Here is an 18,915-nt window from a genome sequence, read left to right as displayed (position 1 = left end):
GATACTTTTTGAGTATAGTTGATAATTTTTATTTGTTACAAATCATCTATGAGAATGTTTTCTATCAAATTAGTGTTTTTAACAGTTTTTTTTTTCCTGTTAGGGATCAGGTATGTAATGGCTGGCATTTCAGTTTTTGAAATTCTTCATTAACTGAGCTCCATAAGCTTTAGAAATAAGGGCAGATACTTGTCTGGTCAAATGTGCCTTTATGATCTAGTGTGTTCTGCAGTTCCAGTTATGATGCCGACCTTTGGTAATCTTTCTAATGATTCTTTTATAAAAAGTCTGCCATTTGAATATACTCACTTTGCCTGACTGCCCACTGTGCTTTGGGACTTTGTTGGTCTGTAGAGAATCTTTTTATCATGATGTAGACTTGAAAAAGAACTTCAGCTTTCATGAACTTGAACAGGGAAATGGAAAGGACATAGAGGGAAGAGAGGAGTTATAATGAGTTCAACTGTTGCATTAGACTGTGGTTTTATTTTTGGGAGCTAGAAATCACATATTCCTTTATGTCTGAGAAGAGGTAGCGCAGATTACATTAGCACAAGGCTCTGCTGGCTCACAGGAATCACCGGGACCATTGGAAGGTATTTGTGATGAGGTAGGTAGGGCAGTAATAATGGTCCTTGGGGAAGGTGAGCCCATCCACCTTTTTCTTGTGTTGTTTGTCTGTTTTGGTGCTTTTTTCCCCCTCCCTCCTTTCTCTTCCTGCTTTTACCCTTTTCTCTTTTTTCTTATCAACTCTGAAGTGTTTGATGACTGGGACATGGAAAACTATGTTATTCCTGTAAATATGTTTTAAACACTTTTTATTGTGGAAAATTTCAAACATAAGTAAAAATAGGATGATATAAGGAACCCCTAGTATTTATCACTAAACTTCAATAGTTATCAACTCATGAACAATTTTATTTTGTCTATACTCTTCCATACCCTTCAGATTAGGAAGCAAATCACAGACATTATTTTATCTGTGAATTTTTCAGTATATATCTTTAAAAGATAAGAACTCTGAAAAATATAATCACCATACCATCACACACACACACACACACACACACTCACAGAGCAAATCATAAACAACTGAACACTATCTTAATATCATCAAATCCTCATATCATCAAACAAATATTACCGATGAACCTTAATATCAACAATATTGAGTTAGTATTCAAGTTGCCATAATTGTCTCATACATTTCAGTTGAGAGGTCTCTTAAGACTAAATATATGTCAGACCCTCCTGAATCTCTCTCTTTTATTTTTGTTCTTAAATTTTTTTTTGTTAAGGAAAGTTTCTCATTTGTAAAAAAAAATTGAATGTACTAATGACTTGGACTCTTCATTCCTATTTTAAAAACATTGAGAAAAGAATATATAGACACGGATGAATGTTTCATATTAAAAATAACAGAATACTGTGGCCAAGGAACAAACATTGGCATTTGATTATCTTATATATAATTTCCAAACATTCTTTACTCTGATGCTTTCTCCTAGTAAAAGGCCCTGAAAATCACTGTACCCACTGAGAAATTTGTTTTATCTTATTTTCACTTGTATTGTTTCCCTCTGCAGTAGCAAGAAATAGACAAATATTCGTTTTATACAAGAAATTCCCTTATCAGAGGAGAATTGGTGTCAGAATTTGCCACTTAAAGTGAATCCAGTTACATTTCACAGTAAACAGTAAAAGAGAAAAAACCTGGAATGATTCAGACTTTATCCTGAAAACTAAAGTGAAAATATGTTTACCTCATATTTAGAACCATTTAGATTATAACTAATTCATAGGAAAAAGAGTGAATCTAGTATTTTCTTGATATCATTTTCTGACAAAATTTTAATCAAAATTTTGACTTCTTTTACGTGTGAGTTTGTCAGCACAATTTGAAAGAGAGCTTTTTTTTTCAAAAGCATTAGAAAGTTTTACCAGTTTTTGCAAGGGTTTTCCTGTTCCATAGAATAAATGTTAACCGACTATAACAAAGATACCATGATATATAATTTCTAAAATAAGATAGAAATATACTTGTCTCTCACAAAGTAAGTGAACTAGTCTAGCCTCTGCTCCATTAAGTCATTCCAGGATCAGGCTCCATCTTGTTTCTTCCCCACCTTCAGAGTAATGCTGGGATGCATAAGGGAAGTTGAGTCTGCCAGTCGGAGGCTGGAAAATGCCCTAAATCCAGGGAAGTAGCTTGTCTTTAAGTTGAAAATGGCCTGGAAGGAGTACATATAACTTCTACCACACATCTTTTTGGTCTTAACTTAGTCAGATGGCCACACTTTACTGCAAAGAAGGCTGGGAAATATAAATATATAAATACATATAAATATATAAATTTATATACATATATATAAATTTACATAAATTTATATATGTAATGCATATATCTGCATATGGACAATAAGAAACAACTATTCCTAGGGCAGCACTCTCAGTCTGTTTCTAGGTTCACATGTCCCCTAATCCAGTGCTATAATCACCTACCCTATGGTAGTGGACTGGGGTAGGGGATATAGTATCAGGAGAGATGAGAAATCAGCCGGCCTTTCAACTTTTGCCTTTTGTCCTAAGAGGACTTCTCTTATCCTCTCTTTAGATGCTATTGATAGTGAAAGATAAGGGTTTTATGCAGATCTCTTGGTGCTGTTCAAGGTGTCTACCTTCAACAGGTTAGCAGATGAATACTCAAAACGTTATAGCCTGCTGCATATCAACTGGCTGAAAGGAGAAATATATAAGACTTTAAGAAAATACAGGTTATCACATGGTGCTTTTGTTTAATAGCTCAGGAAGACAGAGGTGTACAGTGTTACTTCCTTCTGAGCACGAAAACATTGCCTAATCCTGGAATAGCTCCAATTCATGACGTTAAATGGGGAGCCTAGAATGTACTCTATTTTGATTGAACTCATCCTAGTATTTTTTTCCTTTGTTGTATTTCTGCTATTTAATCCCCTTTTACAAAAGAAATTTGGGGCTTTAAGCTGAGAGTATATATTGCAGAAGAATATGTGGTAAGATTTATTCTTATATAATAGCTACGCATTTTGGTACTTTTGAATTGAAATATAACCTGATACTGTTGACAGGCACCACAGCATTTGATTTCTCAGATTAAGGTCGGTTTGATGTTTATTTGCACAAATTTCCTAAAATTGCAAACAAATAGTAACTTTGTCACAAACTTGTGATGAGATTGCAAATGGTAACTTTGTCATAAACCTGTGATGAGATGTGAAATAAGGTCACCTGTTCTGATGTAGAAGTTTGTGAACTGAGGGCTTTAACTAAGTTTTAATAATATGAGGACATCACCAAGTATTAAATTGAATTATATAATATTGCTAATTCTGTAGGTAAAATACTGCTGGATATTGGCAAAATGTGGCACATAGTAAATGACTTAACCTAATAAGATGAGAATTTCAACAACCTCTAATCACTCTTTGCTTGCTCTTATAAATAGTCCATCCTTTCCCCACTCTGTTATCAGGGCCCTTTTTTTCTTATTTACTATAGTCCATTCCATAATATCATTTGGTAACTCACAGTCACTTTTGTTTTCTTTTGTCTCTGATTTTCTTTCCCATTTAGCACCTCTGTTCTCTTGACTTAAAATAGTATGAAAAGTCATATTGACTAGGATAGGCTGTTCTAGTCACCAGCTATTTTTTTAAAAATTATTATTTTCTCTCTCTCTCTTTTTTTTTTTTTGAGACAGAGTCTTACTCCAACACCCAGGCTGAAGTGCAGTCGCACGATCTTGGCTCACTGCAACCTCTGCCTCCCGGGTTCAAGCTATTTGCATGCCTTAGCCTCCCAAGTAGCTGGGACTATAGGTGCATGCCAACACGACTGTATTTTCAGTAGAGATAGGGTTTTGCCATGTTGGCCAGGCTGGTCTCGAACTCCTGGCCTAAAGTGATCTGCCCACCTCAGCCTCCCAAGTGGTGGGATTACAGGCGTAAGTCACCGCACCTGGCCTATTTTCTTATTTTAATTTTATTTTTTAATTGACAAATAATAATTGTACATATTTGTGGGGCATATAGTGATGTTTTGATATGTACAATGCATAGTGATCAGATCAGGGCCATTGGCATATCCATAAAAAATTATTTGTTTTTAGGCAGAATTTTTCATGATGAAAAAGGTTTTAAGAACTGTTGGCTAAAATTGCTGGACTGTGAAACTGAGTATTAGTCAGATATTCAGATTTGCAACGCTGGATAGACAGTATAACTTTGGTGGTTTGTGTTTCTCACCGGTGATACAGTGACAGTTTCTGTTGTCTACCTCAGAATATTAGTGTTCAAAGACAATGTGTTAAAATGTTCAGAATTTTAGCAGTTAGCCGCCAAGGCAAAGGGAATAGTACTCTTGTGTTCAACTCCAATGAGATAGAAAAGGGGTTTATGTTGCAGTCGAGTTTTATTTAAAAAAGATGTTTGTGGCCCGGCGCGGTGGCTCACGCCTGTAATCCCAGCACTTTGGGAGGCCGCGACGGGTGGATCACGAGGTCAGGAGATCGAGACCATCCTGGCTAACACGGTGAAACCCTGTCTCTACTAAAAATACAAAAAAATTAACCGGGCGTAGTGGCGGGCGCCTGTAGTCCCAGCTACTCGGGAGGCTGAGGCAGGAGAATGGCGTGAACCCGGGAGGTGGAGCTTGCCATGAGCCGAGATTGCGCCACTGCACTCCAGTCTGGGCGACAGAGCGAGACTCCGTCTCAAAAAAAAACAAAAAAAAAAGCTGTTTGTAATCCTTAGTAACGGCTAGGAGAGAAAGCTGGAATCCTGAAGTTTTGTTTCATCTTCATTTTAAAATTTAGAACATCAAACCTATTATTTTCTTTCTCAGAGGGGACATCTCCCTTCAATTTTCGTATTAAGAGTTTGTTGTGGCTCTTAATGATGCCCTGAAAGTCATAGGCTATCTCTGTTGAAATCTGGAGATTGAATCCAATTGCACTTAGCAGTCTCCTAAACTAGGAGACTGGAAGTGACACCTCATTAAACTTTTTCCTTCCATTCCACCTTCCTTTCCACTAGAGAAGTTGTATAGTGTAGTGAAGAGTGTAGGCCCTGCAATTGTATTGCCTAAATTAAAACCTGGCTCTTATTCTTACCTTGTGATGTGTAAAGTGTAGACAGTACTAGTACATACTTCAGAAGGTTGTTGAGAGAATGAAGTGATTCAATACATTGAAAGTGCTTAGTGATTGGGACAGTGCCAAGTAGTAAAAGCTTAATAATGATAATGATAATGATTTTTTATTATTTTTCTGTGTGAATAGTAATTCCATAGGGATACTCCTGGATTCCCCTATGGTCTGCTTATTCCTCCGGATTTCACTGATCTTATCAAAAGGTTATTAGATTGACCTCTCAGGACAATGATGTTTACTTTTAGGAAAATCTACCCTCAGCCTCCTCCCCCATTTTGGTCCAGATTTCACAGCATTTAGCAGGTATTTCATAGTTTGTAGTTTGGGATTGAAGGCTGTCTTTTTATTTCTTTGAAGATGGGATTCTCTTCCTCTGGTTTTTATGTTTTATTATTTAGGGTAGAAGAGTAGAACATATACCTTTCCACTGCTATTCTCCAATGATATTCTGATTTTCAGAGGGAATCATTTTCATTTTTTCAAACTTTTTCATCTCATTGTATCTTATTAAACAAAAATTATGGGAGGCCATTGTTTTGGACTGAGCTCCTGTACTAGGCCCCAACAAACCAGACCAAACAGAAATGGAGTCACCCATGCTAAATGCTGCATAATCAAACTGAAGCTTTAAGGGAGCAGGTAGATCCCCAAATAGACCATTTTCCCCCCTGAAAACAGAAGATTACAGTCTACGTGAATCAGTTTAATAAGGAAGTCCCCTCTGTTTTAATCTTTACCAAAAAAAGTAACCTGAAGTAACTTGATGTTACTAATCAGCTTTTTTTTTTTCCTATTATTCTGTTTCCTTGTTCCCACCTTATAAAATCCATGGTTCTGCCCTGGCCCAGTGGGAGCTCTCATTCTATTTTACAGAGTAGAGGCTACCCTGACTCATGAATTGTGAGTAAAAGTCACTTTTACTAAATTTGTTGTCATTTTGTCTCTTGACAGTCTCTAAACATGCTTTACATTGCTACTTCTTGCTTTTTCAATTGTAGATATTATTTATTGGTTTCCTCCTTCTTCTCCTCTGCTACCTTTTCCTCCTTCTCCTCCTACTACCATGGAGGAAATAGCTCTCTTTCATAAAGTACTCCCCCACCCACACGGGAGCATACTTCCTGCTCTCACACCCAATGTATTTATATTGGTAGTAAGATTATCACTATTGTTTACCTGATTATGACGGTGTAGTTGTTATTTGTAGCAGAACTCTGTAGCATACCTGTGATTATTTTTCCTTTTCTAAACAATTTTTTGTTTTCCTTTGGAATTATTTTGTTTTTTAAAATTGGCTAAATTTTACTAACTTATTATAAATCTTCTCCCCATACATTCAGTTTTGTTTCCTAGAAGAATTCTTTGGAAGAACCTCCTTACTTGATCCAATCCGGACTGGTTGTACTCTTGGCCAGCTGCTCAGTGTCATTCATTTTGGGATTTCCCTTCATCATCTATTGGGGGAGGGGGTCCCTTTACCTCTTTCTTATGTTGGAATGTTTGTTTCCTAAATTCTTGTGGTTTTTGCTTTTTTGGTTTCCTGCTTTGTTTTGGTATTTTGGCTACATCCCCAAGTAGCTTTTTGAGAAAGGTGGATAAGAGAAAATTGTTAAAGCCTTGCGCATATTTGAAAAACGTCTTTATTCTCCTGTCACTTCATTGGCACTTTGGCTGAGTATAGAATTTTTGATTAGAAATCACTTTCTTTCTGAGTTTTTCTTCATTGTCTTCTACTCTCTGGCATTACCCTTGATGATTACCATTCTGAATTTTGATGCTTTCAATGAAACTTACATTTAAGCTTGCTTAATATTTGGCTTATCCCCATAGTTGTGAAATTTTACAAGAGTTGCCTTAATTTGGTAGTATTTCAATCTGAAAATAACCTTCAGTTTGAAGAAATTTTCCTAAAAATTTTCTTTGATTGTTTTCTCATTCTGTTTTCTTTGCTTTCTCTTTCTGGAACTTCTGGTTTTTAGATGCTGAACTTTCTGAGTGAGTTCTGTAATTCCATTATGTTTTCTGCGTCTTAATTTTTTTTTTTTTTGGGAGAGTTTCTCAATTTTATGTTCTAACTTTTCCATTGAGTTTTTAAGTTCTGTCATTTTATTTTTGATTTCTAGTAGCTCCTGTTTTTTTGGCTCTATTTCTTATTTTGGCTGTGTCTTGACCTTGTTTCATGCATGTATTTCCCTTAATTCTTTGATTTTGTTGAGTTTTTTTTAACATTTTCTTTTTTTCTGTACAACTTTTGTTTCTTCCAACTTGCCCTTTTTTTGCATTTGTTCTTTGACCTTAGATTCATATTATAATTTTTCCTCAATTGTCTGGGGTGATCCTTGGCTTTCTCTCATTTATCAGAGTGGGACTTTAAAAAGTCAGTTGAGCTGGGCGTGGTCATGTGCACCTGTAGTTTCAGCTACTTGGGGAGGCTGAGGCAGGAAGTTCACTTATGCCCAGGAATTTGAGTCCGGCCTGGGCAACATAGCCAGACCTTGTCTTTAAAAAAAAAAAAAAAAAAAAGTGTCAATTGGAAGCTTCATGCATGGTAGTGGGCCTTGCTGACTGTGGGCTTAACTATAGGGTAGTCTGGCTGTGCCATTTTTTTGGGGACACTTCTATGTCTGTGTCTTCAAGACTTTTCCCTTAGTCCAGTCCTGATGTCCTGGAGCCAGATGGGAGAAGAGAGCTGACTAGCCTCATCATTGATATGGACACTTGTACAGTTTCACTTAAGCTCCTCCTTTTCAGTGTGGTATTCCCAGCTGCAGCTGCACTTAGTCTCTCCCAGGATAGAGACCCTGTGTTTTATAGTCTTCCGAAATAAACCTCTAGTTTTCTTCCAGGGTTGAGGAGGGTTAGTCACCTAGATCTATGGCATGGAAGTGGAGAGGATCGGGGACTCTCTTTATTAAACTGATTTGCCAACAATTCTTCTGCTTTAATTCCTTCTCCATCACAACTTCTAGAGATACCATATTCTTCTGATTCTTGAGCTATTTGGATGTTTTGCAGAAGAAATTGGGTTGTTTCCAGCCTTCCCCTTGGTGGGACCTGGCACATATTTATTTGTTTTCCAGTTTCCAAAATTCTATTGTTGTTTCCTTTTTTGTTTTCTATTTCCTTGAGAGTCAGTTCCTTAACAACAACAATGTAACTGTTTTTAATGGAATTTCAGGAAGGAGCCAATGTGAAGTGTGCATTCAACACTCTATCTTTGGCTGGAAGTCTACATGAGGAGACTTTTCCTTCATTTGTATCTCTCTGAACTTTAGTAGATTTCTTGGCCAGGACTTCCCATTGGCCAATGAATTATAACAACAGTGGTGAACTTTAGTTGTATGGGATAGAAGGATAGGGAAAGCCCGTAAGTAGGAACTAGGAGACTTTTTTCTAGTCTTGGCTTGTGTGACCTTGAGTAAGCCATTTAACTTTTCTGAACTTCAGTTTCTTGAGGGAGATAGATGGTGACTAAGATTCCTTTCAACTTAAATGGTGTGATTCTGTATAAGAGTAGTAATCACACATATGTCAGATAAGGTGTTTTTTTTTTGTTTTGTTTTTTTTGTTTTTTTGAGACAGAGTCTTGCCCTGTCACTCAGACTGTAGCACAATGGCGTGATCTTTGCTCACTGCAGCTTCTGCCTCCCCGGTTCAAACGATTCTCCTGCCTCAGCCTCCCAAGTAGCTGGGACTACAGGCACCCGCCACCTCACCCAGCTAGTTTTTGTATTTTTAATAGAGATGGAGTTTCACCATTTCCACCAGGCTGGTCTTGAACCCCTGACCTCAAGTGATCCTCCTGCCTTGGTCTCCCAAAGTGCTAGGATTACAGGCATGAGCCACCGCACATGGACAGATAAGGTGATTTTTTTTCCCCAGGACATTCAACATGAATGTTTTTTCTGCCCCTGATGTTGAGACCTTTTGCTTCTAGAACTGCATATAAGTCCTGCCCCATTTATCCTTTGGGCCTTCCAAAAGTCTGCCTTCCATTTGTTTACAATGGTATTGCTCACTGTGTTGGGAACTACATGTCTACACATGGCCCGTTTATGAGAGCATCGCTTGCTCTTCCCTGGTATCCATTCTTTGTTGTTTTTTTTTCAGACGGAGTCTTGCTCTGTCGCCCAGGCTGGAGTGCAGTGGTGCGATCTTGGCTCACTGCAAGCTCTGCCTCCTGGGTTCATGCCATTCTCCTGCCTCAGCTTCCCGAGTAGCTGGGACTACAGGCCCCCGCCACCACGCCTGGCTAATTTTTTGTATTTTTTAGTAGAGACGGGGTTTCACCGTGTTAGCCAGGATGATCTTGATCTCCTGACCTCGTGATCCGCCTGCGTCGGCCTCCCAAAGTGCTGGGATTACAGGCGTGAGCCACCGTGCCCGGCCTCTGTTCTTATAAGTAGTCATTTTCACCCTTGAAAATGTGTTGCACAAAGATGAAAATATAATTTCCAGAGAAATGGTATTTGCATTCTGACAGTTTCTTAGGAAAGAAGGATGGAGTGCCAAAATTTTAATATGGAATAAGGAAGACCAACTTAGATGCAAAAAGGGCAAGAGCTTTCCTGTGACTCCTTAGCTTAAGTTGGCTGTTGGGTTAATTAGTTCTGTGGTTTAGCTGCTACTGAGAGGCTACTGTAGACACTGGGACTGGGATAAAGAGGTACAAGAGTTCAGTGTCTTCCTTTAAGATAGTGGCTCTCAATTCTATCAGTACATGAAATCATGATGCTCAGGGCTCCTCCCCAGACCAACTGAATAAAAAAACCTGGAAGTGGAGCCTAGACATCTGTATTAAAATGAAATTCCCTAGATTCTAATACACACTTAAGGTTGAGAACCATTCCTTAACAGCTAAGTGAGAATTAAAAATACGTACATTAATTGCTGTAGACATAGCAGAATATGATTAGCTCTATGATGAGTGATAGAAATTATGGCCCAGGAGTTGGAAGGCTTTTAATTAATAGGAGCCATTAGGAGAGACTACATCAAGGAGGGGAATTTTGAGCTGGTATATCTTCACAGGTGGAAAGCAGAGAGTCCACTAGGCCAGGGAATGAATGCTGTGAGGGGAATCTCCGGAGATTTGGAAGACTATTTTGATTGGAGTGTGGTGGAAGTAAAGATGGACTGGTAGGCTGCAGCCAGAATGTGGACAGTCTCTCGTGTCAGACTAAGGAATTTTAGCTTTACTCTGCAGGTCGTGGGGAGGCATTCAGGATTTCTGATGAGTGAAATGGCAATGCTGAATCTTTGAAGATTGATCCAATGGGAGTGATGGATAGGCAGTTTGAATAAAAGCAGGCAAGAACTTGAGGAAATGAAGACCAATTGGGAAGCTACTCTCATGGTCCAGATGTGGGGTCATAATGTTCTGAGCGAGGCAAATAGCCGTGGAATTAAAAATGATAAACATTTGCGTAGTATTTTCATGGTCAGTTCTTGCCCATATCTCATTTAAACCTCACACTGACCTTGTGGTCTTTCCTTCCATACTTTACAAATGAAGGAACTGATGTTCAGAGAGAAGCTGTTGTAAAGGAACCTTATAGAAAATGGAGGGGCCTGATTGGATGATGACCAATCAGTAATAGGAAATTAAAGGGTGCATTGGAGGTGTTGGATTGGGTGTGAAGATGGTAGAATTCCTCAGTGGCTAACCGTGTCCAGTCACCGGCCGTGCTGTCTGAGAGCCACTTCATGCTGTTCATGTGACTCTTCTTGCCTCTGTCCTTTAATATGCAGTTATTTATTTATTATTATTATTATTATTATTATTATTGAGACGGAGTTTCGCTCTCGTTGCCCAGGCTGGAGTGCAATGGTGCGATCTCGGCTCACTGAAACTTCCACCTCCCAGGTTCAAGCGATTCTCCTGCCTCAGCCTCCCGAGTAGCTGGGATTACAGGCACCTGCCACCATGTCCAGCTAATTTTTTGTATTTTTAGTAGAGACGGGGTTTCACCATGTTGGCCAGGCTCGTCTCAAACTCGTGACCTCAGGTGATCCACCTGCCTCGGCCTCCCAAAGTGCTGGGATTACAGGCGTGAGCCACCACGCTCAGCCTATTTATTATTATTTTTGAGACGAAGTCTTGCTCTGTCACCCAGGCTGGAGTGCAGTGGTGCTGTCTGGCTCACTCCACGCTCCACCTCCCAGGTTCAAGTGATTCTCTTGCCTCAGCCTCCTGAGTAGCTGGGATTACAGGCATGCGCCACCATGCCCAGCTAATTTTTGTTATTTTAGTAAAGATGAGGTTTTGCTATGTTGGCCAGGCTGCTCTTGAACTCCTCACCTAAAGTGATCTGCCCAAAGTGCTGGGATAACAGGCGTGAGCCACTGTGCCCAGCCACAGTTACTTCTTTAAAGGCATAGTGGAGGCAAGAGAAGGAGAGGCTGTTGTTAATTCAACTTGTCTCAAATATGAATCTTCAAGCCTTTTTTGAATGTCTTTGGGTTTTCAGATAGTTAAATTGTGTTGAATTTTAAAAGGCTCAGTCTAGGTATGAATAGTCTGGAGTTAAAGGGCTGAGACTTTCTTATCCAGGTGGACTCTGCCCTGAGCAGGTTAACTATGACTGGTAGGTTTCCATTTCTCTTGTGGTGGAGACAGGAGCCATAGGGAAGAGAACTCTGGAGCATGGTAGTGTAGACACCAGAGAACATCCCTGTGGCACTGGTAACTAGGATGCTTCATTGAGATTACATCCTTATCAGAGCTGGAGTATGAATCATATCCACCACCATGCTAATTCATTTTGTTCATGAGTTGGCTGTGTCTGTAAGGTCATCTGTTTTGTGAACCAAGATCCTGAAGCAATTCAAATGCCAGTGTAAATCAGCCACACAGGTGACGAAATGTGCTTTTCCATATGAGATACTTGTTCCCTGCAATCAAATAGTAGGAGTGCACCAGAAAGCTAAGGGTACTAGGAGGTAAAAAGGAATGAATCATCATCATGAAGAACCTTGATTAGATTTTTCTCATGAAATGATGAGATGTGGAGGAGCAGGATGGAAACTGGAAAAGGAGAGGAGATTGAATTTTTGTGCCCCAGGCATTCTCAGTTTGGGCACAGAGATCAATACTCATCTGCTCCAGCAGGGGTGAGGGTGAAGCTGATTTTGGTAATTGGAAATGGCAACATCCATAGAAAATTAAACTGTCACATTTTAACTGTTTCTTTTTTCACTGTAGAATACTGGGATCTTCAGTGGCAGGAGGAGTAATCAGAAGACGGAGATGAATTTTAACACTATTTTGGAGGAGATTCTTATTAAAAGGTCACAGCAGAAAAAGAAGACATCGCCCTTAAACTACAAAGAGAGACTTTTTGTACTTACAAAGTCCATGCTAACCTACTATGAGGGTCGAGCAGAGGTAAGAGACAATCACGATTTACTTTTCTGCTTTCTATGTAGATAACGATTTTATAATATTGCCTGCCTCTCCAATCTTATTGAAAATGCTTTGGGTTAATGAAGTAATGATTTATTATCATTTGGACTTGAAAGATGAATTTCAGAGTATGGATAGAAATTAACAAATCTGTTAATTATAGGTTTATTATAATTAACCTATGAATTAATCTATTAGATTACATTACTTTTAGATCCTCATGGAATTTGTAAGGTGCATTGTACATATGGCTCTCTCCTGTAAACCGCTTATTATGTATCAAAGTCTTCTTTAGCAAATATAAATTGTATCCAAGTCCATTACTTTATATGAATATTTCTTCTTTATTAAGTAGAAGTTACTTAAAACTGGTTGGTGATTTGGTGGACTCAACACGTTATCGAAGTTGACCTAAAGCAGAGTTTTTAAACATTCATTTTTTTAATGATAAACAGCTACTACAAAGTTTCTTCGATGGCAGCAGGGAGAAAGCAGCTCACTAAAAAACCTGGCCGGTGAGCACGTGGCACAGACAAATGTGTGGTTAGCACACTCCTGGCTTGTGGGTGGCTTTAGCTTCTCCTTCCACTGCTAGATGAGGCCTTGAATGTGCAATCACCTCTGGTTCTTTTGCTTCTGACATGTTGGGTGTGGCATTTGCTAGTACTGCCACATACTGCCTTCTCTGCTAGAAATATCCTTGGTTTCCAGGAAATGACCAGGGGCTGGGTTGCCCATGGCTAACCATATGCTGTTATGCAATTGGTTTCAGTGGACTGTTGGTGATCCTGGTTTAGTTTTTTTTTTTTTTTTTTTTGAGACAGTGTCTTGCTCTGTTGCCAGGCTGGAGTGCAGTGATGCGATCTCGGCTCACAGTAACCTCCATCTCCTGGTTCAAGCAATTCTTCTGCCGCAGCTTCCCGAGTAGCTGGGATTTACAGGTGCATGCCACCGCACTCGGCTAATTTTTGGATTTTTAGTAGAGATGGGGTTTCACCATATTGGCCAGGCTGGTCTTGAACCCCTGACCTCAAGTGATCCACCCACCTGGGCCTCCCAAACTGCTAGAATTACAGGCATGAGCCACTGCACCCGGCCCTGGTTTAGTTTTCATTCTGTTTTTTTTCTAGAGTATCTTCCTCAGACGTTGATTTAGTTGTATTTTTTTTCTCCCACTGATTTCTCTGTGATTTGGTTTCCCCCAATTTAGATAGAATGGCATTGTGTTTCATGATGGTCCTCAACTCTTAATTTCTGCTGTGGCTCGTCATTGTGACCTGTGGTATTCTGCAGGTTCATGTAATTTAGGAGCATACTCCTTTATCCTTAAGTCCCCAAAATGCTGAAAACCAAAACCTCAAAACTCTTAGTTACAAAACCTGTGTGTGTGTATGTGTGTGTATCTGTACATGTCTATGTGTGCAGAAATATTAATGTATTTAATTATGTGGAGCTGCCCTAGTCCCTGCTGGGACTATTATGTAACATATGATATATGTGCTATATTTGCTTTGTTAAATCTAAAAAATTTAAAAATCCAGAAGTGTTTTAGACAAGAACTGTTACCAGAAATGTGAATTATTTTGAAACCTAAAACAGATTTTAAAGGAAACATTTACACATTTTTGCTGTATGGTAATAATTTGTTATAATTTGATTTTAATATATAGTTGACTCTTGTCAATGTAGGGTTAGGGACACCAACCCTTGTGCAGTCAAAAATCTGCATATAGCTTTTGACTCCCCCCGCAAACTTAACTACTAATAGCCTACTGTTGACTGGAAGTCTTACTGAGGACATGAACAGTAGGTTACCACATATTTGGTATGTTATATATATATAACATACTGTATTCTTACAATAAAGTAAGCTAGACAAAAGAAAATATTAAGACAATCATAAAAAAGAGAAAATAGATTTACTATTTATTAACGGGAAGTGGATCATCATACAGGTCTTCTTCCTTGCCATCTTCACGTTGAGTAGGCTGAGGAGGAGGAAGAGGAGGGGTTGGTCTTGCTGTCTCAGGGGTGACAGAGGGGGAAGATGTGGAGGAGGTTGAAGGGGAAGCAGGAGAGTGAGGCACACTCAGTGTAACTTTTACTGAGAGAAAAATCCCTCTATCAATGGACCCATGCAGTTCAAGCCCATATTGTTTAAGGGTCAACTGCAGTAAGTCTAAGAAAAGAAGTGAAAGTGGTAAAATGCAATTTTTTTACTAATGAAAAAAGTCTCAGAAACCGACATTGTTTGGTTCGCAGTATGGGCAGTTACTATTGAAATATATTGCAATTGCTAACTCACTTTGAAGAAGATAAACATATTGAGTTTAAAGTACCCCTTTTGGTTTAGCTTAAGGGGAATAAGGACAACAGTGGCATCCCTCTTCCTTCAGAACCTCGCTCACCATCTTGCCTTGGAGCAGCCTCAGCCACCCTGAGAACCAGAAAGGACAGAATGAGGAGGTAGTCACAACACAGAAAAACCCAGCCTCTAACACTTCCTGGCAGAATCCACCTCCTTTCTGGCTGCTGCTGCCTGGGCTAGAGAGCCTAGTCCTGTTACTTAATTCCTGCCTTCACCCCCACTCCTCTGATGAGCTGGGCGTTTTGATCCCTTCTGGTTTCTTCTCTCATGGACCAACATTCACTGGCATACTTGTGACCTATGCCTTGAAATGTGGTCACAGATTTGTTTGCCTCTCATAGTAAAATAATTGTCAGTAGTAAAAAAAAAAGAAAAAAAAAGAAAAAAAAAGAAACTTTGTAAGAATCTGGCTTCTTAAAATAACAAAAGTTCTGACAGTGCTGGGCTGAATTCCCCAACAGCTCTCCCTGGCTTCTAGGCATGGCCAGCAACACCTTGTTGCTATGTTTCTTCCATGTTTGTGCTAATGTGCTCAGTTCACTGTTTGCCGTGGATCAATCTTCTGATTTCCATCTCCCTATCCCTGGAAGCTGTGATTCGGAAAAGAATGTGAGGGCCGGTCGTGGTGGCTCATGCCTGTAATCCTAGCACTTTCGGAAGCTGAGGTGGGTGGATCACTTGAGGTGAGGAGTTTGAGATCAGCCTGGCCAACATGGTGAAACCCCGTCTCTACTAAACATACAAAAAAATTAGCTGGGTGTGGTGGCAGGTGCCTGTAATCCCAGCTACTCAGGAGGCTGAGGCAAGAGAATTGCTTGGAGCCAGGAGGCAGAGGTTGCAGTGAGCTGAGGTTGTACCACGCACTCCAGCCTGGGTAACAGAGCGAGACTCCATCTAAAAAAGGAAAAGAAAAAAAGAAAGAGAAAAAAAGGATGTGACATGAGTAATCTGTGCAAATCAACAGGTTTTTAAAAATAATATTTTGTTAAAAAAATGTGACTCTAGAAGTAAATTAGAACCACAGGGGCCATTCAGAAATAAAATAGCCCTAGAGATATTTATTTTTATTGTTCATAGTTCTCCTGTTTTCAATAGAAAAACAATGAGGAGGCTGTCGATTGATCTAATAACTATGATTTATGGTTTCTTTGTGGCTACCAAGTGCCACTAATACTCGTTAAAACTCTCAGTTCATAATGTTAGACAGAAGACGTCCATCTTCTCCTTATTCTCTGGACAGCTTCTTCAACATGATGACAGCAAGCTTTTCTTGAAATTCTTCCTATTATGTAATAAACCTTTCTGTGCTTGTTGAAATATGCTGAAAAATCCTATTCTAGATAACGAGAAATTCACTCAAACCATTTCCTCAGTCTAATTTTGCAAAACTTGCATTTCAGTTTCCGCTGTGGGTCCTTCTTTAGTTTGTCCTCCTTTCTTTATGGTAGTTAGTTAATTCATGTGTATTTCCACATATTCCAAATGAACTGAAAAAAGATCTTCCTGGAAGTTTATATTATTTGATCCTATTCAGGATAACACAGAGCAAAGGACACTGGAGGTTTCATAAGTGATGTTGCTTTCTAGTCACGGGGCTAAATGACACAGGGGACAGACCACCCAATGTTTCAGTGGAGGCTCCATGGGATAATGAGGTGGGAACCAAGGAAGAGCAGCACTGGAGTTTGATCAGGAAAAAGATCTACAAATAATAGTGAGAGAGAAAATGAGGAATTGATTTCTATAGGTTGAGATGTTGAATTTAAAAAATTGAAGTAGTATGTAAATTTGCAACTATCATTAGCTAAGAAATCAGGAATTTTTAGAATTGGACTTTGGATCTCTTAATTTGGTTGGCTTTTTGTCTGTTGTACTGCCCCAGCATGGAAGCTGGCAAATAACTTACAAAGTTGAAGGAATGGGGAAACTCGTTGTGCCAGGGTTCCCAACTCCACCTGTACATTCAGTGATTCACTATGACAGCTCACAGGACTCAGCATTGAGTCATACTCACAACTAGATTTATTACAGCGAAACGATACAAAACAAAATCAGTAAAGGGAAAAGACACATGGGGCCAGGCATAAGCTTCCAAGAATCTTATCCTAGTAGAGTCCCAGAGGATGTGCATAATTCCTCCAGCATCCAATTGTGACAATTGTGAAATGTGCTATTAGAGACTTGGTGCCCAAGGTTTTTGTTGGAGGCTGATCACACAGGTGTCCTATGCCTAGTGTACCAAGGTTCCAGACTCCAGAAGGAAAGCAGGTCTTCAGCATGAACTGCATTGTACAGTTTAGGTACAGTGAGCCACCTCATCAGTGTTGGTAATAGTGGGACCCTCCCAAAGTCCAAGTTCCCAGATGCCAGGCAAGGATCAGCCTTGTAAACAGGCCTTTCTTGGGACAGCAGCCTCAAGCCTGCTGTGTTAACTCTTTTCTGCACATTAGTAGTAAAAATGATACAACCTATTGAGCACTAACTACAAATTAACCACTGTGCTAAGTACTTTACATGCATTATTTCTCTTATTTCTCAAAACAATTCTGTATTAAGTCTTGTTAGACTTAATTTCAAAATGCAGAACTAAGGCTTAGAAAAATTAAAAACCTGCACAACATACAGCTTACAAGAGATTGCGCACACCTTCCAGAAATTGCAGGTATATTTCTTCAAAGCCTATCTTTGAAATAATCTTGATATTCCAATGAAAATTTGAAAAAAAAATCTAAACATCTTAAAGTTAGCACCCCATAATACAGATAACATTTTAAAAGTTTCATGGATATTTTTGTTTGTTACTTTCAGTTATAACTTCTTTAAAAAAATTTTCTTTGTGATGGAAGAGAATTAACACTTGAGAGGGTTTTTGTCCTGGATCTACCACTCTCTCATTGGACTTTATAAAATAATTTTCTCCAATCTATAGTTTAAACATTTTTTTGTGTATATATTGTCTTTATACTTTCTTCAAATTAATTTTTAAATTTATAATTGACACATAATATCTTTTCAAACTGTTAGCTCCTCCGTTTCATCAGCATTTCAACCCCAACACACATCTGATCTGTTACCAGTTCCTGTTGTATTGGTCAGGGTTCTTCAGAGAAACTGAACCAAAAGGATATATATGGGATATATACATATGATATAATGTATGGGTATGTATATATATGTGTATGTGTGTGTATGTATGTACATAAAAGGAGATATATTGTGAGGAATTGGCTCACACAACTGTGGAGGCCAAGAGGTTTCACAGTCTGTTCTCTGCAAGCTGGAGACCCAGGAAAGCTGGTGATGTAGTTCAGTCTGAGTCTGAAGGCCTGCGAACCATGACAGCCAGTGATGTGAATCCCAGTTTGAGGACAGGAGATGATGAGATGGGATGTTTCAGCCCAAGTAGTGAGGCAAGGAAAAAGGGGTAAATTCCTCTTTCCTTACCTTTTGTTCTATTCAGGGTTGGATGATGCCTGCTCACATTGGGGAGGTCAGTTTGCTTCCTGAGTCCACAGATTCAAATGCTGATCTCACCGAGAAACACTCTCACAGACACACTCAGAAGCAATGTTTAATCTGGGTACCCCATGGCCCATTCAAGTTGACACATAAAATTAAGCATCATATCGGTGAATTTTCTCTACTGCAGGCTTATTGCAGCTCCCAACCCCAGTTTTAGGTGGATTACTGCCCTACTTGATTCAATTCCTGGATCTTCATCTTTCATCTGCAAAATGCATAGCTTCTCTAGGATCAAGTTAAAATTCCTTAGTTTGGGATACGAAGTACTTGATGCAATTTTTTCTTCTTCTCCTCTTCCTCCTCTTCTGGCTGTGTCTCCTACTTACAGTTGCCCTTTCACATCGTGCCTTTGCTAATACTCTTCAATCTATTTGGAGTGACACACTCCTCTGCCTGCCTGCCAGGATCCATCTATCCAGCCACCATCTATTT

At 39.3% G+C, this 18,915-nt stretch overlaps 1 protein-coding gene across 6 annotated transcripts in view; it reads left to right on the top strand.

Annotated features, from left to right (window-relative positions):
- Positions 1 to 18,915, top strand: part of TEC (tec protein tyrosine kinase) — a 134,056-nt gene that overhangs the window by 28,787 nt on the left and 86,354 nt on the right. For 5 of the 6 annotated variants that reach the window (NM_003215.3, XM_047416106.1, XM_047416107.1 and 2 more), the window contains exon 2: positions 12,393 to 12,575. In NM_003215.3, the coding sequence (NP_003206.2) occupies positions 12,438 to 12,575 (138 nt within the window). In that variant the 5' untranslated portion in view covers positions 12,393 to 12,437. Of the gene's footprint in view, positions 1 to 12,392; positions 12,576 to 18,915 lie in introns of those variants that run through there. The other variant, XM_011513737.3, reaches the window with a different exon arrangement.

This window comes from Homo sapiens, chromosome 4 (assembly GCF_000001405.40).
Source record: "Homo sapiens chromosome 4, GRCh38.p14 Primary Assembly".
Lineage (NCBI taxonomy): Eukaryota > Metazoa > Chordata > Mammalia > Primates > Hominidae > Homo > Homo sapiens.
Note: the sequence above shows the minus strand (reverse complement) of the source record. Positions and strands in the feature narration are given on the sequence as shown.